This window comes from Homo sapiens, chromosome 12, assembly GCF_000001405.40.
Source record: "Homo sapiens chromosome 12, GRCh38.p14 Primary Assembly".
NCBI classification, from domain to species: Eukaryota; Metazoa; Chordata; class Mammalia; order Primates; family Hominidae; genus Homo; species Homo sapiens.
Window position 1 is genome coordinate 6,531,096 of NC_000012.12, and position 24,951 is coordinate 6,556,046.

Here is a 24,951-nt window from a genome sequence, read left to right on the forward strand (position 1 = left end):
TCCCGGCCGAGAAGGCACACAGCTAGGGTGCAGAGGGCTGGTTTCCATAGGACCTGCTGCGGGGGCCTGAGTGTAGATGCTCTGCCCCACTGCCGCAGAAGGGCCTCTCCTGTACAGCTTGGATTTTATTTCTTCTGTGCGGTGTGGGATTGTCTCACTTGTTCTCTGATATCTATTTTTTCACCATCTTTGTGACTCAGCTTTTTCTTATTCCTTTAATTCTTTGCATAGATCTTTCAGCAGAGATGACAGAAGACGAGACACCCAAGAAAACAACTCCCATTCTCAGAGCATCGGCTCGCAGGCACAGATCCTAGGAAGTCTGTTCCTGTCCTCCCTGTGCAGGGTATCCTGTAGGGTGACCTGGAATTCGAATTCTGTTTCCCTTGTAAAATATTTGTCTGTCTCTTTTTTTTAAAAAAAAAAAAGGCCGGGCACTGTGGCTCACGCCTGTAATCCCAGCACTTTGCGATACCAAGGCGGGTGGATAACCTGAGGTAGGGAGTTCGAGACCAGCCTGACCAACATGGAGAAACCCCATCTCTACTAAAAATAAAAAATTAGCCGGGCGTATTGGCGTGCGCCTGTAATCCCAGCTACTCAAGAGGCTGAGGCAGGAGAATCGCCTGAACCCAGAGGCGGAGGTTGTAGTGAGCCGAAATCACACCATTGCACTCCAGCTTGGGCAACAATAGCGAACCTCCATCTCAAATTAAAAAAAAAATGCCTACACGCTCTTTAAAATGCAAGGCTTTCTCTTAAATTAGCCTAACTGAACTGCGTTGAGCTGCTTCAACTTTGGAATATATGTTTGCCAATCTCCTTGTTTTCTAATGAATAAATGTTTTTATATACTTTTAGACATTTTTTCCTAAGCTTGTCTTTGTTTCATCTTTCACATTAGCCCAGTTTCATGCAGCAGAGAGAGGGTTATCAGTGCAGAGAGAGATGAGTGAGCCCAGAGTCCTAGGGCCTGTCCCGGGATGGCAGATGAGCTTCCTGCCCCGTCACTGCCACCTTTCCCCTCTCAACCTCTGGACCCTGCACAGTGACCAGACAGCCTCTCTGGGGAGAATTATGCAGTGCCTAGGCTCCAGATCAGTGCTTCTGAACCGGGGGCAATTTTGTCTGCCAGAGGACATCTGACAACACCTGGGGCCTGTTTTGTTGTCATAGCCTATAGGGGAAGAATGCTACCAGCATTTGTGGGAAGAGGCCAGGGATGTGGCTCAACATCCTGCAGTGCACAGGATGGCCCCTCAACAAAGAATCACACGGCCCACAATGTCAATAGCGTCACAGTTGAGAAAACCTGCTCTAGACCAAGGGTTGCTTTCTGCCGTGTGCCTCACCCCACCCCCACTCGTGTTCCCTAATCCCATCTCCAAAGGTTGGCAGCAGACCGGCCCAGGCTCGTGGAAGTTCAGATCATGATCCCCTCCAGCTCTGCAGGAGACAAGACCTGTCTCCCAGCATTCCTCATTGTTCCCGGGTCTGCAGAGGGCGTGAGCTATGCTGCAGGCGGGCTGCCCCCTGAAGCCTGCGCACCCCTCTCCAGCTCCTCAAGTCTTCTCTGCTGAGTCACCTTCGAACCGGAGGCTGTGAGCTGGCTGTCGTGACCACACTGGTGCCTCTGCTGTCATGACAACAGCACACTACGTCAGTAGTGCTCCCTGGGCACTGAGCTCCCTCTTTGCGGGGAGAAGACAGTAATGAAAAATGACAAGCATGAGGCAGAGGGGAAGATCACGCTTGGGTGGTGCAGGAGCATGGAGGTGCTCTTAATGCTCTCAATGAGAAAGGGTTAACGGTCCTGGTTGCAGGAATAGCTGAGTCAGAGGTGGGGCTTCCTCCACTCCCCCACCCCACCCCTTTCACCATTAGGGACCTTCTTGCCTTGCTCTTGCTACTCTGCTCTGGGTGGTCATTGTGAAAAGCCCGCACCAACCATGCCAGTGGCAGCCAGACGAGGACACAGCCTGGCTCTGGGTCCCAGCAGGAAAGGCAATCCCAGAAAGGCAGGGTCAGGGACTGGAGTCCTGTGGGTGCTTTTTAAGCAAAGATTATCACCAGGCAGGCTAAACTTAGCAACCGGCTTTTAGCTAGAAGGGCAGGGGGCTGGTGTCAGGTTATGCTGGGCCAGCAAAGAGGCCCGGGATCCCCCTCCCATGCACCTGCTGATGGGCCAAGGCCACCCCACCCCACCCCCTTCCTTACAAGTGTTCAGCACCCTCCCATCCCACACTCACAAACCTGGCCCTCTGCCCTCCTACCAGAAGAATGGATCCCCTGTGGGAGGGGGCAGGGGACCTGTTCCCACCGTGTGCCCAAGACCTCTTTTCCCACTTTTTCCCTCTTCTTGACTCACCCTGCCCTCAATATCCCCCGGCGCAGCCAGTGAAAGGGAGTCCCTGGCTCCTGGCTCGCCTGCACGTCCCAGGGCGGGGAGGGACTTCCGCCCTCACGTCCCGCTCTTCGCCCCAGGCTGGATGGAATGAAAGGCACACTGTCTCTCTCCCTAGGCAGCACAGCCCACAGGTTTCCAGGAGTGCCTTTGTGGGAGGCCTCTGGGCCCCCACCAGCCATCCTGTCCTCCGCCTGGGGCCCCAGCCCGGAGAGAGCCGCTGGTGCACACAGGGCCGGGATTGTCTGCCCTAATTATCAGGTCCAGGCTACAGGGCTGCAGGACATCGTGACCTTCCGTGCAGAAACCTCCCCCTCCCCCTCAAGCCGCCTCCCGAGCCTCCTTCCTCTCCAGGCCCCCAGTGCCCAGTGCCCAGTGCCCAGCCCAGGCCTCGGTCCCAGAGATGCCAGGAGCCAGGAGATGGGGAGGGGGAAGTGGGGGCTGGGAAGGAACCACGGGCCCCCGCCCGAGGCCCATGGGCCCCTCCTAGGCCTTTGCCTGAGCAGTCCGGTGTCACTACCGCAGAGCCTCGAGGAGAAGTTCCCCAACTTTCCCGCCTCTCAGCCTTTGAAAGAAAGAAAGGGGAGGGGGCAGGCCGCGTGCAGCCGCGAGCGGTGCTGGGCTCCGGCTCCAATTCCCCATCTCAGTCGTTCCCAAAGTCCTCCTGTTTCATCCAAGCGTGTAAGGGTCCCCGTCCTTGACTCCCTAGTGTCCTGCTGCCCACAGTCCAGTCCTGGGAACCAGCACCGATCACCTCCCATCGGGCCAATCTCAGTCCCTTCCCCCCTACGTCGGGGCCCACACGCTCGGTGCGTGCCCAGTTGAACCAGGCGGCTGCGGAAAAAAAAAAGCGGGGAGAAAGTAGGGCCCGGCTACTAGCGGTTTTACGGGCGCACGTAGCTCAGGCCTCAAGACCTTGGGCTGGGACTGGCTGAGCCTGGCGGGAGGCGGGGTCCGAGTCACCGCCTGCCGCCGCGCCCCCGGTTTCTATAAATTGAGCCCGCAGCCTCCCGCTTCGCTCTCTGCTCCTCCTGTTCGACAGTCAGCCGCATCTTCTTTTGCGTCGCCAGGTGAAGACGGGCGGAGAGAAACCCGGGAGGCTAGGGACGGCCTGAAGGCGGCAGGGGCGGGCGCAGGCCGGATGTGTTCGCGCCGCTGCGGGGTGGGCCCGGGCGGCCTCCGCATTGCAGGGGCGGGCGGAGGACGTGATGCGGCGCGGGCTGGGCATGGAGGCCTGGTGGGGGAGGGGAGGGGAGGCGTGTGTGTCGGCCGGGGCCACTAGGCGCTCACTGTTCTCTCCCTCCGCGCAGCCGAGCCACATCGCTCAGACACCATGGGGAAGGTGAAGGTCGGAGTCAACGGGTGAGTTCGCGGGTGGCTGGGGGGCCCTGGGCTGCGACCGCCCCCGAACCGCGTCTACGAGCCTTGCGGGCTCCGGGTCTTTGCAGTCGTATGGGGGCAGGGTAGCTGTTCCCCGCAAGGAGAGCTCAAGGTCAGCGCTCGGACCTGGCGGAGCCCCGCACCCAGGCTGTGGCGCCCTGTGCAGCTCCGCCCTTGCGGCGCCATCTGCCCGGAGCCTCCTTCCCCTAGTCCCCAGAAACAGGAGGTCCCTACTCCCGCCCGAGATCCCGACCCGGACCCCTAGGTGGGGGACGCTTTCTTTCCTTTCGCGCTCTGCGGGGTCACGTGTCGCAGAGGAGCCCCTCCCCCACGGCCTCCGGCACCGCAGGCCCCGGGATGCTAGTGCGCAGCGGGTGCATCCCTGTCCGGATGCTGCGCCTGCGGTAGAGCGGCCGCCATGTTGCAACCGGGAAGGAAATGAATGGGCAGCCGTTAGGAAAGCCTGCCGGTGACTAACCCTGCGCTCCTGCCTCGATGGGTGGAGTCGCGTGTGGCGGGGAAGTCAGGTGGAGCGAGGCTAGCTGGCCCGATTTCTCCTCCGGGTGATGCTTTTCCTAGATTATTCTCTGGTAAATCAAAGAAGTGGGTTTATGGAGGTCCTCTTGTGTCCCCTCCCCGCAGAGGTGTGGTGGCTGTGGCATGGTGCCAAGCCGGGAGAAGCTGAGTCATGGGTAGTTGGAAAAGGACATTTCCACCGCAAAATGGCCCCTCTGGTGGTGGCCCCTTCCTGCAGCGCCGGCTCACCTCACGGCCCCGCCCTTCCCCTGCCAGCCTAGCGTTGACCCGACCCCAAAGGCCAGGCTGTAAATGTCACCGGGAGGATTGGGTGTCTGGGCGCCTCGGGGAACCTGCCCTTCTCCCCATTCCGTCTTCCGGAAACCAGATCTCCCACCGCACCCTGGTCTGAGGTTAAATATAGCTGCTGACCTTTCTGTAGCTGGGGGCCTGGGCTGGGGCTCTCTCCCATCCCTTCTCCCCACACACATGCACTTACCTGTGCTCCCACTCCTGATTTCTGGAAAAGAGCTAGGAAGGACAGGCAACTTGGCAAATCAAAGCCCTGGGACTAGGGGGTTAAAATACAGCTTCCCCTCTTCCCACCCGCCCCAGTCTCTGTCCCTTTTGTAGGAGGGACTTAGAGAAGGGGTGGGCTTGCCCTGTCCAGTTAATTTCTGACCTTTACTCCTGCCCTTTGAGTTTGATGATGCTGAGTGTACAAGCGTTTTCTCCCTAAAGGGTGCAGCTGAGCTAGGCAGCAGCAAGCATTCCTGGGGTGGCATAGTGGGGTGGTGAATACCATGTACAAAGCTTGTGCCCAGACTGTGGGTGGCAGTGCCCCACATGGCCGCTTCTCCTGGAAGGGCTTCGTATGACTGGGGGTGTTGGGCAGCCCTGGAGCCTTCAGTTGCAGCCATGCCTTAAGCCAGGCCAGCCTGGCAGGGAAGCTCAAGGGAGATAAAATTCAACCTCTTGGGCCCTCCTGGGGGTAAGGAGATGCTGCATTCGCCCTCTTAATGGGGAGGTGGCCTAGGGCTGCTCACATATTCTGGAGGAGCCTCCCCTCCTCATGCCTTCTTGCCTCTTGTCTCTTAGATTTGGTCGTATTGGGCGCCTGGTCACCAGGGCTGCTTTTAACTCTGGTAAAGTGGATATTGTTGCCATCAATGACCCCTTCATTGACCTCAACTACATGGTGAGTGCTACATGGTGAGCCCCAAAGCTGGTGTGGGAGGAGCCACCTGGCTGATGGGCAGCCCCTTCATACCCTCACGTATTCCCCCAGGTTTACATGTTCCAATATGATTCCACCCATGGCAAATTCCATGGCACCGTCAAGGCTGAGAACGGGAAGCTTGTCATCAATGGAAATCCCATCACCATCTTCCAGGAGTGAGTGGAAGACAGAATGGAAGAAATGTGCTTTGGGGAGGCAACTAGGATGGTGTGGCTCCCTTGGGTATATGGTAACCTTGTGTCCCTCAATATGGTCCTGTCCCCATCTCCCCCCCACCCCCATAGGCGAGATCCCTCCAAAATCAAGTGGGGCGATGCTGGCGCTGAGTACGTCGTGGAGTCCACTGGCGTCTTCACCACCATGGAGAAGGCTGGGGTGAGTGCAGGAGGGCCCGCGGGAGGGGAAGCTGACTCAGCCCTGCAAAGGCAGGACCCGGGTTCATAACTGTCTGCTTCTCTGCTGTAGGCTCATTTGCAGGGGGGAGCCAAAAGGGTCATCATCTCTGCCCCCTCTGCTGATGCCCCCATGTTCGTCATGGGTGTGAACCATGAGAAGTATGACAACAGCCTCAAGATCATCAGGTGAGGAAGGCAGGGCCCGTGGAGAAGCGGCCAGCCTGGCACCCTATGGACACGCTCCCCTGACTTGCGCCCCGCTCCCTCTTTCTTTGCAGCAATGCCTCCTGCACCACCAACTGCTTAGCACCCCTGGCCAAGGTCATCCATGACAACTTTGGTATCGTGGAAGGACTCATGGTATGAGAGCTGGGGAATGGGACTGAGGCTCCCACCTTTCTCATCCAAGACTGGCTCCTCCCTGCCGGGGCTGCGTGCAACCCTGGGGTTGGGGGTTCTGGGGACTGGCTTTCCCATAATTTCCTTTCAAGGTGGGGAGGGAGGTAGAGGGGTGATGTGGGGAGTACGCTGCAGGGCCTCACTCCTTTTGCAGACCACAGTCCATGCCATCACTGCCACCCAGAAGACTGTGGATGGCCCCTCCGGGAAACTGTGGCGTGATGGCCGCGGGGCTCTCCAGAACATCATCCCTGCCTCTACTGGCGCTGCCAAGGCTGTGGGCAAGGTCATCCCTGAGCTGAACGGGAAGCTCACTGGCATGGCCTTCCGTGTCCCCACTGCCAACGTGTCAGTGGTGGACCTGACCTGCCGTCTAGAAAAACCTGCCAAATATGATGACATCAAGAAGGTGGTGAAGCAGGCGTCGGAGGGCCCCCTCAAGGGCATCCTGGGCTACACTGAGCACCAGGTGGTCTCCTCTGACTTCAACAGCGACACCCACTCCTCCACCTTTGACGCTGGGGCTGGCATTGCCCTCAACGACCACTTTGTCAAGCTCATTTCCTGGTATGTGGCTGGGGCCAGAGACTGGCTCTTAAAAAGTGCAGGGTCTGGCGCCCTCTGGTGGCTGGCTCAGAAAAAGGGCCCTGACAACTCTTTTCATCTTCTAGGTATGACAACGAATTTGGCTACAGCAACAGGGTGGTGGACCTCATGGCCCACATGGCCTCCAAGGAGTAAGACCCCTGGACCACCAGCCCCAGCAAGAGCACAAGAGGAAGAGAGAGACCCTCACTGCTGGGGAGTCCCTGCCACACTCAGTCCCCCACCACACTGAATCTCCCCTCCTCACAGTTGCCATGTAGACCCCTTGAAGAGGGGAGGGGCCTAGGGAGCCGCACCTTGTCATGTACCATCAATAAAGTACCCTGTGCTCAACCAGTTACTTGTCCTGTCTTATTCTAGGGTCTGGGGCAGAGGGGAGGGAAGCTGGGCTTGTGTCAAGGTGAGACATTCTTGCTGGGGAGGGACCTGGTATGTTCTCCTCAGACTGAGGGTAGGGCCTCCAAACAGCCTTGCTTGCTTCGAGAACCATTTGCTTCCCGCTCAGACGTCTTGAGTGCTACAGGAAGCTGGCACCACTACTTCAGAGAACAAGGCCTTTTCCTCTCCTCGCTCCAGTCCTAGGCTATCTGCTGTTGGCCAAACATGGAAGAAGCTATTCTGTGGGCAGCCCCAGGGAGGCTGACAGGTGGAGGAAGTCAGGGCTCGCACTGGGCTCTGACGCTGACTGGTTAGTGGAGCTCAGCCTGGAGCTGAGCTGCAGCGGGCAATTCCAGCTTGGCCTCCGCAGCTGTGAGGTCTTGAGCACGTGCTCTATTGCTTTCTGTGCCCTCGTGTCTTATCTGAGGACATCGTGGCCAGCCCCTAAGGTCTTCAAGCAGGATTCATCTAGGTAAACCAAGTACCTAAAACCATGCCCAAGGCGGTAAGGACTATATAATGTTTAAAAATCGGTAAAAATGCCCACCTCGCATAGTTTTGAGGAAGATGAACTGAGATGTGTCAGGGTGACTTATTTCCATCATCGTCCTTAGGGGAACTTGGGTAGGGGCAAGGCGTGTAGCTGGGACCTAGGTCCAGACCCCTGGCTCTGCCACTGAACGGCTCAGTTGCTTTGGGCAGTTACTCCCGGGCCTCACTTTGCACGTGTGCTTACCTAGTGGAGACAAAAGTACATACCTCGGTAGAGCGCGCACGCCTGTAACCCCAGCACTTTGGGAGGCCAAGGTGGGTGTATCACCTGAGGTCAGGAGTTTGAGACCAGCCTGGCCAACATGGTGAAACTCCGTCTCTACTAAAATTACAAAAATCAGCCAGGCTTCATGGCACATGCCTATAGTCCCAGCTACAGGCATGCTGAAGCAGGAGAATCGCTTGCACCCCGGAGGCAGAGGCTGCAGTGAGCTGAGACCACACCACTGCACTCCAGCCTAGGCAACAGAGTATGAGACTCCATCTCAAAAAAAAAAAAAGTACCTACCTCAGAGTTCAAACTAGTGAATATTAGGAAGTGCTTGAGACAGTGACACCAAAGTGCACAATAAATACTCGCCAGTTTCATTATTATTAAAGAATCCATTTGAATGTCAGCTCAACACAGCCTCCTATACCGAGGCATTGTGAACCGCATCTCCCCAGCTTCTCCAGGCTTTTCCAAGAATCAGGGACACTGTAGCCTGTTGGTCTCAGTGTATGACAGACACGGAGGAAGCACATCTTTAGCTGATACTTAAACAGAGACCCTGAGCGCACATACACCCGCGCACACATGCATGGAGCTTCACCTTCTCTGTCATTCTGCAGTGACCAGGAGAGCAAGAGCTCCCACCTCCCTTCAAAACACTGTGCCCATCCCGGGCACTAAGGCCTCTTTAAAGCACGGCACCTCCACGAGGGAGGGCCACAGCCACATACACTCCACCTGGCAGGTGGACAGCGTGAGCACGTGGACCATAGCAGGGACAAGGTGCCCCGGCCAGCCCCAACGCCCTCTGCCGCTGACAGGGACAGAAGCCCTCTCCAGCTGCGTGTGCTGCAGAGGCCATGCGTAGCCTCCAGCTGCATTCTATTCCACTCCAGTGCCTGGGCCAGTTAGCACCAGTGTGGAAGACAGTGAGCTGGCTCCGGACAACAGGGATGGAGGAAAGGTCCCACATTCACATTCCTGATACGTGGACAAGGTGAGGGGCCGCAATCGCTCTGGCAGCATTTTAAAGATGGGGAAGTAGCAGACACCCACGCGTGAAGGCAGGAGAGCCCCAACTGTGGTGGAAATGGCCCCAGAATGGTAGGGCCAAGCCTAGCTCCAGACACCCCAGAGCCCTGGAGAAGCCAAGACTGAGGGAGAAAGCCTGAGGGAGGAGCGCCCCAGTCCCCAGGGACCGGCCTGGTGCAGAGCTGCAGCTGATGTTCCCCTCTGTGCAGCCCCACCCTCTGCCTCGCTGAGCTCCCTGCTGCGAGGGCCTCGGGTGCAAGGGGGAGGCAGGTCTCTATCTCATGGAGCTGTCAGATGAGACATCGCGATCGGAGTCCTCAGCCTCGCTTGGCGGCGGCGGCGGGTCGCTAAGCGGGACCGCAGTGAAAGCAGGAGACTTTCTAGAAAAAAACACCAGTTGTCAACCTTGGGGCAGGCAGGAATCCTGAAGACGGACGGCACTCCTCCTCCTGCTGCCTCACCCTCTGGCAGCCCGTGAGAAGTACCGGAAGCGAGGGCGGGGCCGCGGGATGGCGAGGGAGCGGCAGGGACTGAACTCTCTCCAAACCCACCCTGACAGGGAAATGGGCCCCGCCTGTGTCTTGGGAACTCAGAGGCTGAGGTCAGGCATGATGGCTCACGCCTGTAATTCCAGCACTTTGGGAGGCAGAGGCGGGTGGATCACGACGTCAGGAGTTCAAGGCAAGCCTGGCCAACATGGTGAAACCCCATCTCTACTAAAAATGCAAAAATTAGCCAGGTGTGGTGGCGGGCGCCTTGGAGGCTGAGGCAAGATAATCACTTGAACCTGGGAGGCGGAGGTTGTAGTGAGCCAAAAAAAAAAAAAAAAGAAATAGCTGAAGTCACAGTAGGAGAGAAGCTGCTGAGCCTCCAGCACCCTGACTCTAGGGCCTTGGCTTTATGTCTATCTGCAGTATTTTTGTGATTTTTAAAAATTCACTTTCTTGTTGCGGTGTAACTTACACAGGGTCAAATGCACAAATCATGGCCCTGACTTTAGATAAAAATCTGCCCCCACAACCCTTCTGTTCCTTGCCAGTTTTTAAACTGCCTCTAACCAGGGGAACCACCAGAGCTGGTGGCCTTGGGAGGTTTCAGCCCTCCCGTCATGAATGGACATAGCTCATCCAACTGCCAAGGGAGAGAGCTGTGGGTCTGGGCCAGCCCCACCAGGTAACTCCCAAAGGGCAGCCCCACAGCAAGATGTGACCCAGTCATTGCCTGAGGGTCTCTGGGGCTGTGTTCCAACCTTTCTCCCCGCTGTGTCCCCCTGGAAGGCCCCATGCCCAGGGGAGGCGCCTACCGGTCTCCAGACTGGGTGATGAGCCGGCGGCAGGTCTCCATCTGCACGTCCAGGCCGCGCTTCATGCTGCACATCTCCATGTACTCGTGCAGGTGCCGGTTCATGTCGTTCTTGGCCGTGGCCAACTCCAGCTGTGGTGGGGCAGGCAGGGCCATCGGGGTTAACAGGTGGCGTTCACAGCGCCTCTGTTGCCCCCGCCAGGAGGCCAACACGCCAAGAGCAGTGGCTGGGCCGGGGGCCCAGGCAGCCATTACTGAAGGCTCAGATTTTAAAATAAACCAGACCAAGGCAGAAGGCAGCGAATACACCATTGTTTCCTCTGCTTTTCCTGGAAATCTTTGCCTATGGAGGAATGCAAAGGTACTGCTGCAGGCTGTGTTCTTTTAAGACTGATAAGAGTGGTGAGGAAAGTCAGTGTGGGCGGGATGGAGCAGATCCACAGGCTCCCAGGGCCACACAGGTTCCTATGGGGCCCGGCTCACCCCTCATCCCCTGTACTGCGCTGGTCCTGGGCTGTCCCCTCACTGCACTGTGAGCTCCCGTAAGGGTTAGCGACAGGTTTTCCTCATCCTGGCAGACCCAGACCTCGAAGGGAATTAACTCTCTCTGTGACCCGTGGCATACAAGCCTGGCTAACTGCTGAAAGGGGCCCAATCCTCTTACCATTCTCTCCTTATCACTTTATTTTCTCACCTAAAAGCCATTTTCAGACACTAAAAGGAAGACTCCCATATTGGAGGTGCCATTGATTCTGAGACCTGTCCTGATTTCAGAAATGTCACACGTGGAAAACACGGGGCTCAGAATCAAAGAAATCCGGTCTCCCTCCCCGGGCCCATTCTGCAGCCCACACTCTGAGGCAGGCGGAGAGGCAGGGCCCAGGCAGCACAAACTCAGTGCCAGGGACAGTCGACTGCCTCTCTTTGTTTTGGGTACAAAGGGCAGGGGCCGCAAGGGGAAGCAAAATGAAACTTCCTGGAGATGACGTTCGTGACTGCCTGAGTGAAGAGAACGGGGAGGATACCAGCTGCCATAATGTGGATTGGACAGAGAGGGTGGGAACTTAGAGAAAGAAGGAAACAGGTTACAGGGCCAGACAGCAGAGATGGTCAGGACAGTGACATTTGGGGTGAGATGGCGGCTGGCTGGGTGAGAAGCCCTAGTGGGGACAGCTTCCCTGGCAGGCTTGGATCCACAGCTGGGGCCCCACAGTAGTGGGAGGAGCAGGACACGGTGACTGTTCAACCCAGGGGGAAAATACAGTGCCACCAGCCCTTGTTCAGATCAGCTGCCTACACCCCAATTTCTCCACCTTGGAAGAACCGGAGTGCAGGGAGCTGGGTTCTGGAACCATCACTCAGGGAGACTGGGAAGAAGGAAATGAACCAAATATATTCTACTGAAATACAAGGCTAGTACTGCCACCAGTAGTCTCTGCATATGTCTATGTCCCCACTTAATTCACAAATTTACAGCAGGAACAAGGTCAGGAGGTGAACGTGCATGTCAGGAGATGTCCTTGACAAGCCACCTTGAAAACTGCAGGCTCGCTGTGTGAACAGACTTGGGGGTGGGACGGGAGGAGACAGAGAGAGGTGAGGAGCGGTGGGGAAGAACTGCCTCCCGCCCACCACTCTGGGCCTTGGCTTTACCTTGCTCCATCTTAGTGACCCTGAGAGATCAAAGGTCACAAAGATAAAGGCACCTTGGGTACTCCTGAGGTCAGCAAGTCCTCCTAACGGTTCCCCTAATGCAGAAGTCCCCAAACCCCAGGCCACGGACCAGTACCTGTCTGTGGCCTGTTAGGAACCAGGCCAAATAGCAGGAGGTGAGCAGTGGGCAAGTGAGTGAAGCTTCATCTGTATTTACAGCTGCTCCCCATCACTGGCATTACAGCCTGAGCTCCACCTCCTGTCAGATCCGCGGCGGCATTAGATTCTCACAGGATCCTGAACCCTACCTTACGTGAACTGTGCATGCGAGGGATCTAGGCTGTGTGCTCCTTATGAGAATCTAATGCCTGATGATCTGTCACTATCTCCCATCACCCCCAGATGGGACCGTCTAGTTGCGGAAAACAAGTTCATGGCTCCCACTGATTCTACATTATGGTGAGATGTATAATTATTTCATTATATATTATAATGTAATAATAATAGAAATAAAGTGCACAGGCCGGGTGCGGTGGCTCATGCCTGTAATCCCAGCACTTTGGGAGGCCGAGGTGGTGGATCACCTGAGGTCGGGAGTTCGAGACCAGCTTGACCAACATGGAGAAACCCCATCTCTACTAAAAATACAAAATTAGCCAGGCGTGGTGGCACATGCCCGTAATCCCAGCTACTTGGGAGGCTGAGGCAGGAGAATTGCTTGAGCCCGGGAGGCGGAGGCTGCAGTGAGCCAAGATTGCGCCATTGCACTCCAGCCTGGGCAACAAGAGCAAAACTCTGTCTCTAAAAATAATAATAATAATTTTTAAAAATAGTAATAAAGTACACAATAAATGTAATGTTTGAATCATCTCAAAATCATTTCCCCCGGGTCAGTGGAAAAACTGTCTTCCACAAACCAGTCCCTGGTACCAAAAAGGTTGGGGACTGCTGCCTAAAGTCATTGCACTGGGAGAGAGGAGGAGTCAGATGATTTGAAAATACTTTTTTTTTTTTTTTTCCTGAGATGGAATCTTGCTCTGTCACCCAGGCTGTGGTGCAGTGGCACAATCTCAGCTCACTGCAGCCTCCACCTCCCAGATTCCAGCAATTCTCCTGCCTCAGCCTCCCAAGTAGCTGGGATTACAGGTGCCCACCACAATGCCTGGCTACTTTTTGTATTTTTAGTAGAGACGGGGTTTCACATGTTGGTGGCCAGGCTGGTCTCACACTCCTGACCTCAAGTGATCTGCCCGCGTTGGCCTCCCAAAGTGCTGGGATTACAGGCGAGAGCCACCACGCCCAGCCAAAAATAGCTTAAAAGGCATGATTCCATTTAAGATATTATTTTCGTTCTTTCAGATCATGTTTTACACTGGGCACTTGAGGTCCAGGGAAGACTAGGGAGAGATGGCAGCCCGAGATCTCTTCTCACGAAGATGGCCGCACAAAGGCCCCTAGTTGGTTGAAGGCACAGTGAAAACACAAACCTTAAATCCACCATCCAAAAGAGGGAGACAAGAATCAGGTCAGGCAGGAGGAGGAAACAGTGAGCCGCGGTAGACGGGAGGGTGGGGAGTACTGGTTTCCCTTGCCATGTCTTTAGCTAGCAGCACAAATCCAGGAAACCTCATCTACCTGGCCAAGAAAACCAGGTTTGATGCAGGAGCAGGACAGTTTGATGTGTGTTGGGAGAATGAGTATATAGGAAAATAATTTCTCGACTTCCTTCTCAAACACCTCCAATGTGACAGCAATAAGAATAAAGTCAAGGCCGGGCGCGGTGGCTCACGCCTGTAATCCCAGCACTTTGGAAGGCCGAGGCGGGTGGATCACGAGGTCAGGAGATCGAGACCATCCTGGCTAACATGGTGAAACCCCGTCTCTACTAAAAAATACAAAAAATTAGCCGGGCGTAGTGGCAGGCGCCTGTAGTCCCAGCTACTCTGGAGGCTGAGGCAGGAGAATGGCGTGAACCTGGGAGGTGGAGCTTGCAGTGAGCTGAGATCGCGCCACTGCACTCCAGCCTGGGCGACACAGCGAGACTACGTCTCAAAAAAATAAATAAATAAATAAATAAATGAAAAGAATAAAGTCACTCTCTCCTTATCCACTGGTTTCACTTTCCACGGCTTCAGGTACCCAAGGTGAACCTTGATCTGAAAATATTAAATGAAATATTCCAGAAATAAACAATTCCTAAGTTTTAAATTGCACGCTGTTCTGAGTGGCCTGATAAAATCTCACTCTCTCTGCCGGGCGCGGTGGCTCACGCCTATAATCCCAGCACTTTGGGAGGCCGAGGTGGGCGGATCATGAGGTCAGGAGATCGAGATCATCCTGGCTAACACGGTGAAACCCCATCTCTACTAAAAAATACAAAAGAAATTAGCCGGGCGTGATGGCGGGCGCCTGTAGTCCCAGCTACTCAGGAGGCTGAGGCAGGAGAATGGCGTGAACCCAGGAGGTGGAGCTTGCAGTGAGCCGAGTTCAAGCCACTGCACTCCAGCCTGGGTGACACAGCGAGACTCCGTCTCGGAAAAAAAAAAAAAAACCTCACTCTATCCAGACCAGGACATGAACCCTCCCTCTGTCCCAAGGATCCACACTGTCTATACTGCCTGCCCATTAGTTACTTAGGAGCCATCTCAGTGATGAGATTGACTGTCGTGGTATGGCAGTGCCCGTGTTCAAGGAACCCTTATTTTTACTTCATAATGGCCCCAAAGCACAAGAGTAGTGATGCTGGCAATTTGGATATGTGAAAGAGAAGCCAAAATATGCTCCCTTTAAGTGAAAAGGTAAAAGTTTTCAACTTAATAAGAAAAAGAATCCGATGCTGAGGTTGGTAAGCTCTACAGTAAGAATGAATCTTCTATCCGTGAAATTGTAAAGAAGGAAAAAGAAATTTGTGCCAGTTTTGCTGTCACACCTCGAACTGCAAAAGGTACCGCCACAGCGCACGCTAAGTGCTTAGTTAAGATAGAAAAGGCATTGAATGTGTGGGTGGGAGACATGAACAGAAACACGTTCCAGTTGACAGCAACTGGACCCAAGCTATCAGGAGGTCAGTGCTATCTTTGGTTTCAGGCATCCACTGTGGGTCTTGGAACACATGCCCTGAAGATAAGGGGGGACTACGTATGAATCTCCCATGTGGGCCTGAAGAGAGGCTGAGACGCAGAGAAGGCTCCATGCCTCTCCCAAAGTCAGAGCGTCGGGAAAGGACCACCTCACCAGGCCAGGAGAGCTCACGGGGGTCCCGTCCATCCCTCCTCCCACAGCAACAGCAACCTCCATTCTGTGGTTCCACAAATCCTTCTTCCTTTGTTTGTATTTTTGAGACGGAGTCTTGCTCTGTCGCCCAGGCTGGAGTGCAGTGGTGCGATCTCGGCTCACTGCAAGCTCCGCCTCCCGGGTTCACGCCATTCTCCTGCCTCAGCCTCCCGAGTAGCTGGGACTACAGGTGCCTGCCACCACGGCCAGCTAATTTTTTTTTTTTGTATTTTTCGTAGAGACGGGGTTTCACCGTGTTAGCCAGGATGGTCTCGATCTCCTGACCTCGTGATCTTCCCGCCTCGGCCTCCCAAAGTGCTGGGATTACAGGCGTGAGCCACCGCGCCCGGCCTCCACAAATCCTTCTTGCAGCTCCTAAAGCCTAGAGTTTGAGCTAAAGCACCAGCTCCACTTGCCTCTAGGTACCTCTAGAAGGTACTTCAAGGCTTGGGAAAAAGCATGGAGATTTCTCTGTTATCTCAAAGGCTGAGTGGAAGAAACAGGAAAGTCCCAGTCCATCTCTGAGTGCCATGGCACTGATAGTGTTAATAATAATAAAACAGTCCCCACTATGCTACACTCGCTATGAGCCAGACACTGCCCTAAGCTCTATATATGCATTATTTCATCTGATCTTCTAAACAACCCTATAGGTGAGGTATTATTAAATTCCTCATTTTACAAATAAAAAGGCCCGGCACAGTGGCTCATGCCTGTAATCCCAACACTTTGTGGGGCCGAGTTAGGAGGACTGCTTGAATCCAGAAGTTTGAGGGCAGCCTGGAAAACATAGTGACACCCTGTTCTCTGTAAAAAAAATCAAAAAATTAGCCGGGCGTGGTAGCACACGCCTGTGGTCCCAGCTACTTGGGAGGCTGAGGTAGGAGGATTGCTTGGATCCAGAAGATCACGGCTGCAGTGGGCCTGGAGTGACAGAGCAAGACCCTGTCTCAAAAAAAGAAAGAAAGAAAGAAAGAAAGAAAAAGAAACAGGTGTAGGGCTGGACACATGGCTCATGTCTCTAATTCTAGTACTTTGGGAGGCCGAGGCAGGAGGATCACTTAAGCCCAAGAGTTTAAGACCTGCCTGGGAAACACAGGGAGACACCATCTCTACAAAAAAATACAAATAAAAATTAGCTGGGTATGGTGGCACACACCTGTGGGCCCAGCTACTCAGAAGGCTGGGGTGGGAGGATCACTCCAGCCTAGGCAACAGAGTGAAACAGAGTGAGACCTTGTCTCAAAAAAGAAAGGACAGAAAGACAAGGGAGAGAGGGAGGGAGGGATAGAGGGGGAGGGGAAGAGAGAGAGAGAGAGAAAGGAAGGAAGGAAGGAAGGAAAGAAAGGAAAGGAAAGGAAAGGAAAGGAGGGGCTCAGAGGGAACAAGTAACTTATTACAAGTTCAGGGTGGTTGTAAGTAACAGAGCTGAGATTTGAACCGATATCTGTCTGTTTCCAGAGCCTGAGGTCTTCAGAGCCCACCAGGAGGACTATAGCTGAGAGATCACTCCTCCTCCCAAGACCTTGGTCTCTAGGGTCCTGCAGCAGGGATGAGGCCACTGCGCCTGCAGCCCCACTCAAAACCCTCTGGGACACCACGCCCCTGGCTTCCGCTCCTGCCCTTACCTCTATCTGGTCAATGGTCTCCTGATACTCCTTCTCCCGGGTTTTGAACAGGGACTCCGTATCTTTAATCACCTTCTCCAGGCTATCTTCCTGCTGCTGGAGTAGAAAGGGAAGCGGGGGAGGCCAGCCAAGGAGGGATGGGATGGGACGCATTCCAAAGGGCCAAGTCAGGGAGAGAGAGAGAGAGGAAGTCTGGTTAAAGAAACTGGAGAAAGAAAAGCAAAAGGATAAAGGAAGAGGGGAGACGCAGGTAGAGGATGACAGCCACATGGGGGGACAGAGCAAGGAGAGGAGCGGGGGAGTGGGCTTCAGGCTGGAGAGGCAGAGCCAGAGGGCCCTGAGGCCGGGAGCAGAGGTTACCTCTCCCTGGGCCTCTGCAGCTGCCATGGCATAGCCTGAGAAATCCTCCCAAAGCAGCAGGGTCTCCTCAGTCTCCTCCCAAGTCAGGCTGTCACAGTCGTCCTCAAAATCATACTCCCTCCTAGAGACAGGGAACCCGGGTGTCAGGGCGGGCGGGGCCTCGTCCTGGCGGGGGACTGGGGAGCTCCGGCCTCCTGGGCTGCTGTGGCGTCGGTGCTGCGGGAGCACGGCCTGCGGACTCACAGCTGGTTGAGCATGCGCTGCATCTCCTCGTTGATGCTGAGGGCTGTGCTCTCCTCCTCATCCCCATCGGGCTGGCGGGGCCCCTCACTCTCCGACAGGGAGGTGTCCTCCTCGACGGCAGCCTTGCGCTCCCGCTTCCGCCCCCCCATGGATGGGACCTTAATGGGAGACAAGTGCAGAGACTACAGAGACGAGGCCGGGTGCATGAGGAGAAAGGGCGGGAGCGGGAGGCCGGGCAGAGAGGGTGGGAATGGGGGAGAAGCATGAACCAGTAGGAAGGGGGGGCAGACAGAGAGAAAAGTCACAGTTACAATGACAGGAACAGAAACACGGACAGTCACCAAGGGCCAGACACACAGCGGGGGTCAGGGCTGCAAACCGAGAAGGCAGAACAAGAAGAAATCGAGAAGAAGAGCAGTCAGACAAGGAAGGAAGGGCTCGCTGGGGCTGCAGTCAGATGTGCATGATGGCTCAAGAGGAAATTTTTTTCTAAAAAAAGTCTTTTTGATTAAATGACTCAACTAAAAAAAAAAAAGCTTTAGGACGCAAGGAGGATGAGTGTGCAATGTGTACAAAAGAGAACCTGAATCACATCCAGATCTGGAAAGCCGGGGGAGAAGGGAGAGAAAGAAATGCAGTCAAGAGAACAAGAGATAGAGAGAAAAAGGGGGAAGAGCAAGGAAAAGGGAAAGGGCAGAAAAAAATCCGTGCTCAAGAGCCCAGCGGGCCCAAACTGAGGGCCAGGAGGCCTAGGCAGCTTAGAAACTGGGACTGGGACATTAATAAGCTTGCGTGAGATCAAACTAACCAGCTTCTTCTGTGGAGGAAGCAAGAGAGAAGATGAGAGGAAGAGAGGAGAGGAAGCAGACAGAGGAGAGAGAGGGGGAAGGGAGAGACGGCGTTAGAGACAGCTTCCACGATGCCCCTCCTGATGCTGCTCCTTACCCCCCAGTCTAGCCCCGTGAGGGCCCCAGTTGCCAGGTAAGGCTCCCCAAGCAGGAGGCAGGGCCTGCGTTCCAGGCCAGCCGCCACGGAAGCATCCACCTGCCCCACCCACCCCTGAGAGCAGAGGGCAGCTCCGTCCTCACCTGGAACATCTGGATCATGTCCTCGCAGTTGCGCTGCTGAGCCACATCGCAGAGCTTGGCGGTGATGTCGATGCGGCGGCAGATGTCCATATCCACCTTCATGGCTTTCTCCTGGATCTTGGTGTCCAGCTCCGACAGGTTCTGTCCAGGGAGCCCAGGGAACAGTGAGGAGGCGCCCAGTTCTCCAGACAAGGACGAATTAGGCCTGGCAAGGTCCTCATCCTTCCCACCACATTGCACCGGTGCCTCTTCTGTGGAGTCTCCCTGAGCTGACTGCACCCCTCTTCCTGGGTAGCGGTGGCCTCCCCACAGCACTGTGTGAATATGCTGGGCATGGGGCGGCTCGGGCCACTGCTCCCTGGCCAAACGGAAGCCCTGGAGGGCATGGCCAGTGCCTGGGACATGCAGGGGGCTCACTGGAACGACTAGCGGTCCTCATCCTCCTAGAACTTACATTCCCAGAGAGAAAGAGACTCCTGGGAATTATAAGAGTGGAGAAAGGACTATAATAATCGCAACAGCTAACACTCTTCCAGCTAACACTGCATGCTGGGCACTGTCCCGAGTACATGACCACCCTCACAATACTCCTGCAGAGCGCACGCGTTTATTTCCCCACGCCAAAGGTGAGGCCTCAGAGGCTGAGGAATCGGCCCAGCGCCCCGGCGCCAGCTGCAGAGCCTCCACCCCAGAAGCTGCTCACTAACTGCTCTGCAACCCCAGGCCCTCAGAAGCTGCGCCACCTCTGTGACGCAACACCGAGACTTTTGTTGCTTGTCTTTCTCTGGAGTTAGGGGTGGCTAGGGGAAAAAGGGAAGGAAAGCAAAGAGAAGGGGAGGAGCCGTGGACGGGAGGCCAACAGGCCAACACTAGAAGGGCCTACTCTTCTGGCCTCAGAAGCCTCACTTCGACCCTCGGGAAGCCTGGGGCTGCACTCACGTTACTCATGAGCCCCTTGAAGACCACCAGCTCAGCCTTCAACTGTTCCACCTTCAGTGCCAGCTCCTCCTGGCAGGCATCAGCCTCCTGGGCTTCCTGCAGTTGGGAGAAACCCTGATGTTGGTGGCACTGCCGAGGTGGGAGGAAGATAAAGATGCCAAGGAGGGACAGGGAGACGGCAGCAGGGTCATGGGCAGACAGGGGTACCCAGGGAAGCACCAGCAGCAAGTGGGGCGCCACCCTCACCTCCTGGAGCTCATTTACACGGTCTTGCAGCTGGATCCGCACCGTGTACTCCTCTTCCCACCTGACAGACATGGGAAGGGCGGAGAGAGCTTAGGTACAGAGTCCTTCCCTGCCCCCATGGCTCCCTGTCCCCACCTCTCTGGCTCAGGCCTCAGACCCCAGTTCTGGTTCCCTGGATGGGGAGGAGCAGGGCACAGGAATGCCTGGCCAGCCAGCTGGTGACCAACTGCAGCTGTCACGCGGCTCTGTGCTTCCTGATGGGCGTCGAGCTCGCCAGCTGCCTTCCCGGAACCTCCGGGCTGTGCACCAGGAGCTCTGTTTGGGCAAGTGCTGAGGCTCCGGTCCTCCGTGATGCCCATCCCTGCTCAGGCCCCAGCTCAGCCAGCTGTCCGGCTGGCCTCATTGCCCACCTCCTGCCCACACCAGACCACCAGGTCCACCCGGCCCAGTCTCCCACCTTCAGTCGCACAGATCCGGGCTCCCGCCTCCTGCCCGCACCAGAACAGAGCTCGTCGAGCCCGCTGCCCTGCCTCTTGTGGTATCATTTAACCCTGTAAAAGCATCTGCAGGACACATAGTGTATCAACAGAGTGGGTCAAGAGCCTGGTAGGAGACACTCAAAGTCCTTCCCCACTAGCTCCAGAAACTACCCACCCAGAGCCTCCTCTAAGGGAGTCACAGAGAGGTGACCAGACTGGCTCAGAGGCCGGAAGTCCCACAGCAGCATGACAGCAGTGGACACACGAGCCTGGGGTTACTAGCACTCAAACCCAGAGGGAAAGAGAAAGTAGAGTATGTAAAGGGGCCCGGTGAGTACGGCAAATGAGAACTAGACACAGCCTGTTCCAGGGCCCAGAATTCAGAGATTAAGACTGCAAGTGGGCCGGACGACACCCTGGGCCACAGGGCAGGGTCCTAGGTAGGGCATGCTTCCCAGAGCCAGCTTTGTCATGTCTCATCAGCCATGGCAGGCAGTGCATATTCTATTCCATCACAGAGATGGAAGCCAGGGCAACGTGCTGCTTAGGACCCGCCCGGCATTCCAGGGCCCTGCAGTCTAGCTGGCGTAGCAGCACATCTCAAATCCTGTTCCTGTGAGCTCATCACTTCTGTCAACCCGAGAAGGGAGGGGAACTGCACCAAGAGAGAAACTTCAACACAAGAAAGGTGGTTAGGAAGGGGCCAAGAAGACAGCAAGAAAATTAAAATCTGAGTGGGCAGCTTCTGAAGCCTTGGGTGAAGCCCTTTCTTCCCCTTCCCTCCATCTTCCTTCCTGTGTCAGCCTCTGGGTCCCATCTCCTCATTCACAGCCGCACTGCAGTATTCCTAATAATAACTCCTCCACATCACCTCGACTGCCCCTCCCTGCTGGGCAGAGCAGGAGGAGGCAGCCAGCCCAGCCACCACCCTGCTGGCTCCCCACACAGCCCAGCTCCCAGCCTTCCTGGCTCCCAGCCCCCTTCCCTGTGTGTCCCGTAGGTGCTTCTCCCCTCCTCCCTGGCATTCTCATGCATACAGTCAGGCCACTAAGGGAACCAGTCGCATCAGATTATGTTTTCTTAGCTAAGACCCTTATCTTTTCTGGGTCTTGGTTTCTTCATCTATGATGTGAAGGCATGAACTGTGGTGCCCTCATGCGCCGGGAGCCCACGAGTCCCTGGAGGGAGACAGTAAGCCTGTCAAGGGCACGCTAACCCTGGACAAGATGTGTGAAAGAGGGCAGGAGGGGCTATCTGACAGTGAGCTCAACAGAGCCTGGAAGAAACTTAAGTAAGGCAGTTATAGCTAAAGGTTAAGCCTAAGGAAATCTTACAGGGTAAAAAAAATCTACAAATGAATCATCTGGAAGCCCACTACAGTTCTATTTGTTCTTTGGCCAGACTTCACACAGACAGGTTCATTTTCACCTCCATTTCCATCTGGTCTCACTTATAAGGTTCCCTTAACATGGGCAGAATTTGAGAGCGATATCCATGTGTTCTGCATGGACCAAATATCTCTCTTCCAAAAAACTGTATCCCTGGGTTGAAGAGAGAAAGCAGGGACCATTCCTATGTTGGGAAAATGGGGGCTCAAAAAAAGGTCACGCACAAGGCAGGGGAGCTGAAAATAGAACGCAGGAGGCCTTTAGCTACCTCCCAGTGTAGCGCTCAAGCCATCCCAGGCCTTCCAGGCAGAAGACAGGAGTTACAGTGTTGCTATAAAGAGACCAGAATGAGGGCAGGGAATCTAGGGAGGAAGAAGAGTCACTGCCAGTATCACGCACCATCCGAATCCAGCTAAGGCTCTCTACACAGCAGCGTGCTGCAGAGCGATGAGCTAATCAGTCCCCAAGGAATAACTCCTTCCTGTCCTGGACAGCTGGACCAAGGACAAACGCTCCTTCAGTTTAAAAAAAAAATGCTCCTGAGAACAGCAGTTGTTCCTGTGGTTATGGATGTATTCCAGAACTGTGCCTGTGCCACTGCTGAGCGCGTAGTTAACTCCTGCAGGGGCAGAGCAGGCTGGTTCTGGGTGGCAGAACGATGATTTCAGGACAACTGAAACTCCCAAGGACACATAACATGGACCACAACTAAGGAAGCCAGCACGAGGACAGGACTCAAGCTCAGAAAGCCTGCTGATCAGGTCAGGAGTTTGAGACTGGCCTGGACAACGCAAAAAGAAAAAAAAAAAATAGCCAGGCATGGACATGGTAGTGCACACCTGTAGTCCCAGCTACTCAAGAGGCTGAGGCAGGATGATTGCTTGAGCCCAGGAGGATGAGGCTGCAGTGAGCTGTGATGACGCTACTGCACTCCAGCCCGGATGACAGAGCAAGTCCCTGTCTCAATATTTTAAGTCAAGGGTCTGTAGTCATGTGTTCAACGCCACTTCTTGCCATCACTTTGCAATTATTGAAATGGGCATACTGAGCTCAGAAAGCAAATCTGATGCTTTCACGGGAGACAGAGCCACATTTGTGTTCTGGGTGGGATCACTAGTGCAGGAGAACACTACATCTTCTTCTGAAGGCAAAATGCTTGTAGGTTTTGCCTCTTTACTTTGCATTTACTTCTAAAATTGCACTTGTTCACCTACCAGTGTTTACGAAATCCTGTATTTGGGATGCTTTTTCTATAATAAAATATTATCATTTATGGGAAAAAAAAAAAAAGAAAGCCTGCTGATCTGTGATCTGGTAAACTCCAGCAGGGTGGAGATCCCTGAAGGTCGCCCCTAGACCCAGCGGTCATTTCCTAGAACATTCGGCCAATCCTCACCCAGTGCTGAATCTCCGCCACACTGGGCTGCATAGGTAGTTCCCAGGCCCGCCCACAAGGGGTCATAATAGCTGAGATGAGAGGGGAGGCCGCCAAACCAAAGCCTGTCAGTCACCCGCTCCCTCCTCAAGGCTTGGGTTGGAGTCTGCAAGACACTACCTCTGCTCTCACTCCTGTCCTATCGGCTTGGTTATCAGCCATCTAAGGAATCCACTTGGTATACAGCCAGCACTCCTGGCATCACATCCCTTTCCCTTGCCCCTTGGGGCCGGGCTCCTCTCAGACAGCCAAATCTTCATCCACAGAATGCACCGGGCCCGCCCCGCGGCCTCGCGGTCCTAGGGAGGGCCCATATCCCAGCTTCTCCCTGCTCAGTCCCCTGCTGGCTCTCCACTCTCCCTCCCCACTGGCGCTTTATACTGCCAAGATTCCCCTGTCAGCCCTGCTCTCCACCCTCACCCTAGTGAATTCCCTTCACTCTTTCTTTTCCCAGTTTGTTGACCTACTCAAGCAATGGCTTGAGGTCCCGGAGCTTTTCCTATGAAACCACAGCAGGTACCTGGTTTCCATCAATATTCTTTGGGAAACCTTGGGGTGTGAAAGAATCACTCGTTGCAAGGTACAGCCCCTCCCTCACCAGCCCCTTCCAGTTTCACTCAATTTAGTCTCCCAAATTTACGCTATATCCTTGCCTCCTACTTTTGAAGTTTATATCCCTAACCTGCCCCAGGGCTGAGACCGGTAGGGCAGAGCCCCAGTCCCTTTCACACCGCACAAAACCCGCAGTTAAGCCTGGATGGCAGAGACAAGCCGGAAAAGTAGGAATCCCCCCGTGTTCCGCTCCCAGCGTCCTTCTTCCTGTCACGAGCAGGGCTTCTGCATTCTCTGCGGATTCTAGTCTCCCTGCATCCAATTGCTTCCAAGCTCCTCATTACACAGCACAAACTTTACTCTCATTCTTTTCACCCCTGATTCTTCGGAACCCACACCAACTCGCGGCCCGTTGTGAGTGGTATGACACAGAGAGACCTGTCCCCCTTTCCCAATCCCTACCTCCGCTTGTACTCGTCCCGCTCCCGCTTCACTTTGGCCAGCACGTTGTAGAGAGCGCGGATCTCGGGCGTGATGGTGTCGATCTGGACGCCCACCCCATCCGGGTGCACCCACGACAAGCCAGGCCCTTGCACCAGAGTGGGCTCCAGTCCCGGCCCGAGCCGGCGGGCGTGCGAGAACGACCAGATGGTGCCGGGCATGAAGCGGGCCGACGAGGAATAGGTGGTGGAGGTGGAGGTGGAGGACGACGAGAGGCTGGCCGCGGAGGGCGCGAGGGGGCCGGCCGGGGAGCGCGCGGGCGAGCCCAGCACGCGCGCCGAAGGGCTGCAGACAGCGGCCGGCCGGGCGCCCAGCTGCAGCCCCAGGGGCCGGATGGGGCTGACGAAGCCGGTCTGCACTGCCTGGTCGCGACGACCCAGGCCCCGCCGGCCCTGCTTACCCTCCTCCAGCGCTTGCTGCAGTTGCTTCTCCAACAGCCGGTTCCGGCGCTCCAGCTCATGCACCTTGGCCAGGAAGCAGCGGAACCGGAGGTTCAGGGTCTTGAGCACGTTGATGTTGGAGCCCAGGTCATTGCGGAGGGCCATGGCGGCAGGCGGGGCCGGGCCCGGCCCGGGCGGCGAGTAGGCAGCAGGGCCGGCCGGCGAGAGAGGCGCCGGGGGCAAGTCTCCTCCCCCGGCGAAGTGGTCGCCTCCCAGTGAGTCCCCCAGTGGCCCGGCCAGGCCCTGCTGCTCCTGCTGCAGGAGGAAGAGGTTGGGGCCGAATAACGGATTCATGGCTGCGCCTTCTGCTG

The 24,951-nt window shown here is 55.5% G+C and overlaps 3 protein-coding genes and 1 long non-coding RNA gene across 24 annotated transcripts in view, besides 19 other annotated features; 2 read left to right on the plus strand and 2 right to left on the minus strand.

Annotated features, from left to right (window-relative positions):
- The window catches only part of NCAPD2 (non-SMC condensin I complex subunit D2), a 37,854-nt gene extending 36,994 nt beyond the window's left edge, over positions 1-860 (plus strand). Inside the window, exon 32 of the mRNA NM_014865.4 lies at positions 232-860. Within this exon, the coding sequence (NP_055680.3) occupies positions 232-317 (86 nt within the window). The 3' untranslated portion in view covers positions 318-860. The remainder of the gene's footprint in view (positions 1-231) is intronic.
- Positions 821-3,312, minus strand: GAPDH-DT (GAPDH divergent transcript). The gene is made up of 2 exons (XR_002957397.2): positions 2,369-3,312; positions 821-2,048 (listed from the first exon to the last, which is right to left on the minus strand). It is a non-coding gene; the product is annotated as a GAPDH divergent transcript (long non-coding RNA).
- Positions 1,564-1,693: an enhancer, noted in NCBI's record as "active region_5863". NCBI's record gives its function as "activates an Ori minimal core promoter by ATAC-STARR-seq in GM12878 lymphoblastoid cells {active_cell/tissue: GM12878}" and the evidence as "EXISTENCE:reporter gene assay evidence [ECO:0000049][PMID:35858748]".
- Positions 1,564-2,427: a biological region, named in NCBI's record as "NANOG-H3K27ac-H3K4me1 hESC enhancer GRCh37_chr12:6641915-6642688".
- Positions 1,654-2,427: an enhancer, noted in NCBI's record as "NANOG-H3K27ac-H3K4me1 hESC enhancer chr12:6641915-6642688 (GRCh37/hg19 assembly coordinates)". NCBI's record gives its function as "activates a minimal SCP1, AML or CMV promoter by ChIP-STARR-seq in primed H9 embryonic stem cells {active_cell/tissue: H9 hESC(primed)}" and the evidence as "EXISTENCE:reporter gene assay evidence [ECO:0000049][PMID:30033119]".
- Positions 2,428-3,201: an enhancer, noted in NCBI's record as "NANOG-H3K27ac-H3K4me1 hESC enhancer chr12:6642689-6643462 (GRCh37/hg19 assembly coordinates)". NCBI's record gives its function as "activates a minimal SCP1, AML or CMV promoter by ChIP-STARR-seq in naive and primed H9 embryonic stem cells {active_cell/tissue: H9 hESC(naive and primed)}" and the evidence as "EXISTENCE:reporter gene assay evidence [ECO:0000049][PMID:30033119]".
- Positions 2,604-2,853: a silencer, noted in NCBI's record as "silent region_4167". NCBI's record gives its function as "represses an Ori minimal core promoter by ATAC-STARR-seq in GM12878 lymphoblastoid cells {active_cell/tissue: GM12878}" and the evidence as "EXISTENCE:reporter gene assay evidence [ECO:0000049][PMID:35858748]".
- Positions 3,202-3,975: an enhancer, noted in NCBI's record as "NANOG-H3K27ac-H3K4me1 hESC enhancer chr12:6643463-6644236 (GRCh37/hg19 assembly coordinates)". NCBI's record gives its function as "activates a minimal SCP1, AML or CMV promoter by ChIP-STARR-seq in primed H9 embryonic stem cells {active_cell/tissue: H9 hESC(primed)}" and the evidence as "EXISTENCE:reporter gene assay evidence [ECO:0000049][PMID:30033119]".
- GAPDH (glyceraldehyde-3-phosphate dehydrogenase) lies at positions 3,422-7,276 on the plus strand. 6 transcript variants are annotated; one of them, NM_001289745.3, is made up of 9 exons: positions 3,422-3,566; positions 3,715-3,766; positions 5,399-5,498; positions 5,589-5,695; positions 5,825-5,915; positions 6,006-6,121; positions 6,214-6,295; positions 6,489-6,901; positions 7,006-7,276. In NM_001289745.3, the coding sequence occupies exons 2-9, from the start codon at positions 3,738-3,740 to the stop codon at positions 7,073-7,075; spliced, it is 1,008 nt and encodes a 335-aa protein (NP_001276674.1). In that variant the 5' UTR covers positions 3,422-3,566; positions 3,715-3,737; the 3' UTR covers positions 7,076-7,276. The 6 variants fall into 6 exon arrangements, 5 of the variants coding, with proteins under 5 accessions (NP_001276674.1, NP_002037.2, NP_001344872.1 ...); NM_002046.7 differs by having other exon boundaries at positions 3,422-3,474; NM_001357943.2 differs by having other exon boundaries at positions 3,422-3,474; positions 5,643-5,695.
- Positions 3,574-3,713: a silencer, noted in NCBI's record as "silent region_4168". NCBI's record gives its function as "represses an Ori minimal core promoter by ATAC-STARR-seq in GM12878 lymphoblastoid cells {active_cell/tissue: GM12878}" and the evidence as "EXISTENCE:reporter gene assay evidence [ECO:0000049][PMID:35858748]".
- Positions 5,524-6,297: an enhancer, noted in NCBI's record as "H3K27ac-H3K4me1 hESC enhancer chr12:6645785-6646558 (GRCh37/hg19 assembly coordinates)". NCBI's record gives its function as "activates a minimal SCP1, AML or CMV promoter by ChIP-STARR-seq in naive H9 embryonic stem cells {active_cell/tissue: H9 hESC(naive)}" and the evidence as "EXISTENCE:reporter gene assay evidence [ECO:0000049][PMID:30033119]".
- On the minus strand, positions 7,866-24,947 carry IFFO1 (intermediate filament family orphan 1). 16 transcript variants are annotated; one of them, NR_036467.2, is made up of 10 exons: positions 24,162-24,947; positions 20,303-20,408; positions 19,846-19,906; positions 19,600-19,695; positions 18,661-18,801; positions 17,573-17,730; positions 17,330-17,450; positions 16,970-17,065; positions 10,417-10,547; positions 7,866-9,493 (listed from the first exon to the last, which is right to left on the minus strand). NR_036467.2 is itself a non-coding variant. In NM_001330325.2 (10 exons), exons 1-10 carry the CDS (start codon positions 24,932-24,934, stop codon positions 9,388-9,390), a joined length of 1,686 nt encoding a protein of 561 aa, NP_001317254.1. In that variant the 5' UTR covers positions 24,935-24,947; the 3' UTR covers positions 7,866-9,387. The 16 variants fall into 16 exon arrangements, 15 of the variants coding, with proteins under 15 accessions (NP_001317254.1, XP_006719038.1, NP_542768.2 ...); NM_001330325.2 differs by lacking the exon at positions 20,303-20,408 and adding an exon at positions 18,381-18,386 and having other exon boundaries at positions 16,970-17,062; XM_006718975.5 differs by lacking the exon at positions 20,303-20,408 and adding an exon at positions 18,381-18,386.
- Positions 8,475-8,684: an enhancer, noted in NCBI's record as "active region_5864". NCBI's record gives its function as "activates an Ori minimal core promoter by ATAC-STARR-seq in GM12878 lymphoblastoid cells {active_cell/tissue: GM12878}" and the evidence as "EXISTENCE:reporter gene assay evidence [ECO:0000049][PMID:35858748]".
- Positions 9,465-9,614: an enhancer, noted in NCBI's record as "active region_5865". NCBI's record gives its function as "activates an Ori minimal core promoter by ATAC-STARR-seq in GM12878 lymphoblastoid cells {active_cell/tissue: GM12878}" and the evidence as "EXISTENCE:reporter gene assay evidence [ECO:0000049][PMID:35858748]".
- Positions 9,645-9,784: an enhancer, noted in NCBI's record as "active region_5866". NCBI's record gives its function as "activates an Ori minimal core promoter by ATAC-STARR-seq in GM12878 lymphoblastoid cells {active_cell/tissue: GM12878}" and the evidence as "EXISTENCE:reporter gene assay evidence [ECO:0000049][PMID:35858748]".
- Positions 18,321-18,821: an enhancer, noted in NCBI's record as "H3K4me1 hESC enhancer chr12:6658582-6659082 (GRCh37/hg19 assembly coordinates)". NCBI's record gives its function as "activates a minimal SCP1, AML or CMV promoter by ChIP-STARR-seq in naive H9 embryonic stem cells {active_cell/tissue: H9 hESC(naive)}" and the evidence as "EXISTENCE:reporter gene assay evidence [ECO:0000049][PMID:30033119]".
- Positions 18,822-19,322: an enhancer, noted in NCBI's record as "H3K4me1 hESC enhancer chr12:6659083-6659583 (GRCh37/hg19 assembly coordinates)". NCBI's record gives its function as "activates a minimal SCP1, AML or CMV promoter by ChIP-STARR-seq in naive H9 embryonic stem cells {active_cell/tissue: H9 hESC(naive)}" and the evidence as "EXISTENCE:reporter gene assay evidence [ECO:0000049][PMID:30033119]".
- Positions 20,002-20,501: an enhancer, noted in NCBI's record as "H3K4me1 hESC enhancer chr12:6660263-6660762 (GRCh37/hg19 assembly coordinates)". NCBI's record gives its function as "activates a minimal SCP1, AML or CMV promoter by ChIP-STARR-seq in primed H9 embryonic stem cells {active_cell/tissue: H9 hESC(primed)}" and the evidence as "EXISTENCE:reporter gene assay evidence [ECO:0000049][PMID:30033119]".
- Positions 20,774-21,291: an enhancer, noted in NCBI's record as "H3K4me1 hESC enhancer chr12:6661035-6661552 (GRCh37/hg19 assembly coordinates)". NCBI's record gives its function as "activates a minimal SCP1, AML or CMV promoter by ChIP-STARR-seq in primed H9 embryonic stem cells {active_cell/tissue: H9 hESC(primed)}" and the evidence as "EXISTENCE:reporter gene assay evidence [ECO:0000049][PMID:30033119]".
- Positions 22,923-23,423: an enhancer, noted in NCBI's record as "H3K4me1 hESC enhancer chr12:6663184-6663684 (GRCh37/hg19 assembly coordinates)". NCBI's record gives its function as "activates a minimal SCP1, AML or CMV promoter by ChIP-STARR-seq in naive H9 embryonic stem cells {active_cell/tissue: H9 hESC(naive)}" and the evidence as "EXISTENCE:reporter gene assay evidence [ECO:0000049][PMID:30033119]".
- Positions 23,424-23,924: an enhancer, noted in NCBI's record as "H3K4me1 hESC enhancer chr12:6663685-6664185 (GRCh37/hg19 assembly coordinates)". NCBI's record gives its function as "activates a minimal SCP1, AML or CMV promoter by ChIP-STARR-seq in naive H9 embryonic stem cells {active_cell/tissue: H9 hESC(naive)}" and the evidence as "EXISTENCE:reporter gene assay evidence [ECO:0000049][PMID:30033119]".
- Positions 24,385-24,564: a silencer, noted in NCBI's record as "silent region_4169". NCBI's record gives its function as "represses an Ori minimal core promoter by ATAC-STARR-seq in GM12878 lymphoblastoid cells {active_cell/tissue: GM12878}" and the evidence as "EXISTENCE:reporter gene assay evidence [ECO:0000049][PMID:35858748]".
- Positions 24,675-24,914: a silencer, noted in NCBI's record as "silent region_4170". NCBI's record gives its function as "represses an Ori minimal core promoter by ATAC-STARR-seq in GM12878 lymphoblastoid cells {active_cell/tissue: GM12878}" and the evidence as "EXISTENCE:reporter gene assay evidence [ECO:0000049][PMID:35858748]".

What these genes read in the sequence shown, in the direction of transcription:
- IFFO1 (XM_047428689.1), bottom strand. Translation starts at nt 24,934, where the DNA reads ATGAATCCGTTATTCGGCCCCAACCTCTTCCTCCTGCAGCAGGAGCAG. An exon ending in CGGGACGAGTACAAGCGGAG is followed by an intron (nt 19,907 to 24,161) that starts GTAGGGATTGGG and finishes CATGTCTGTCAG; the next exon opens with GTGGGAAGAGGAGTACACGG. An exon ending in CAGCGCATGCTCAACCAGCT is followed by an intron (nt 17,451 to 17,572) that starts GTGAGTCCGCAG and finishes CCCTGTCTCTAG; the next exon opens with GAGGGAGTATGATTTTGAGG.
- GAPDH (NM_001289746.2), top strand. Translation starts at nt 3,738, where the DNA reads ATGGGGAAGGTGAAGGTCGGAGTCAACGG. An exon ending in CCCATCACCATCTTCCAGGA is followed by an intron (nt 5,696 to 5,824) that starts GTGAGTGGAAGA and finishes CCACCCCCATAG; the next exon opens with GCGAGATCCCTCCAAAATCA. An exon ending in AACAGCCTCAAGATCATCAG is followed by an intron (nt 6,122 to 6,213) that starts GTGAGGAAGGCA and finishes CTTTCTTTGCAG; the next exon opens with CAATGCCTCCTGCACCACCA.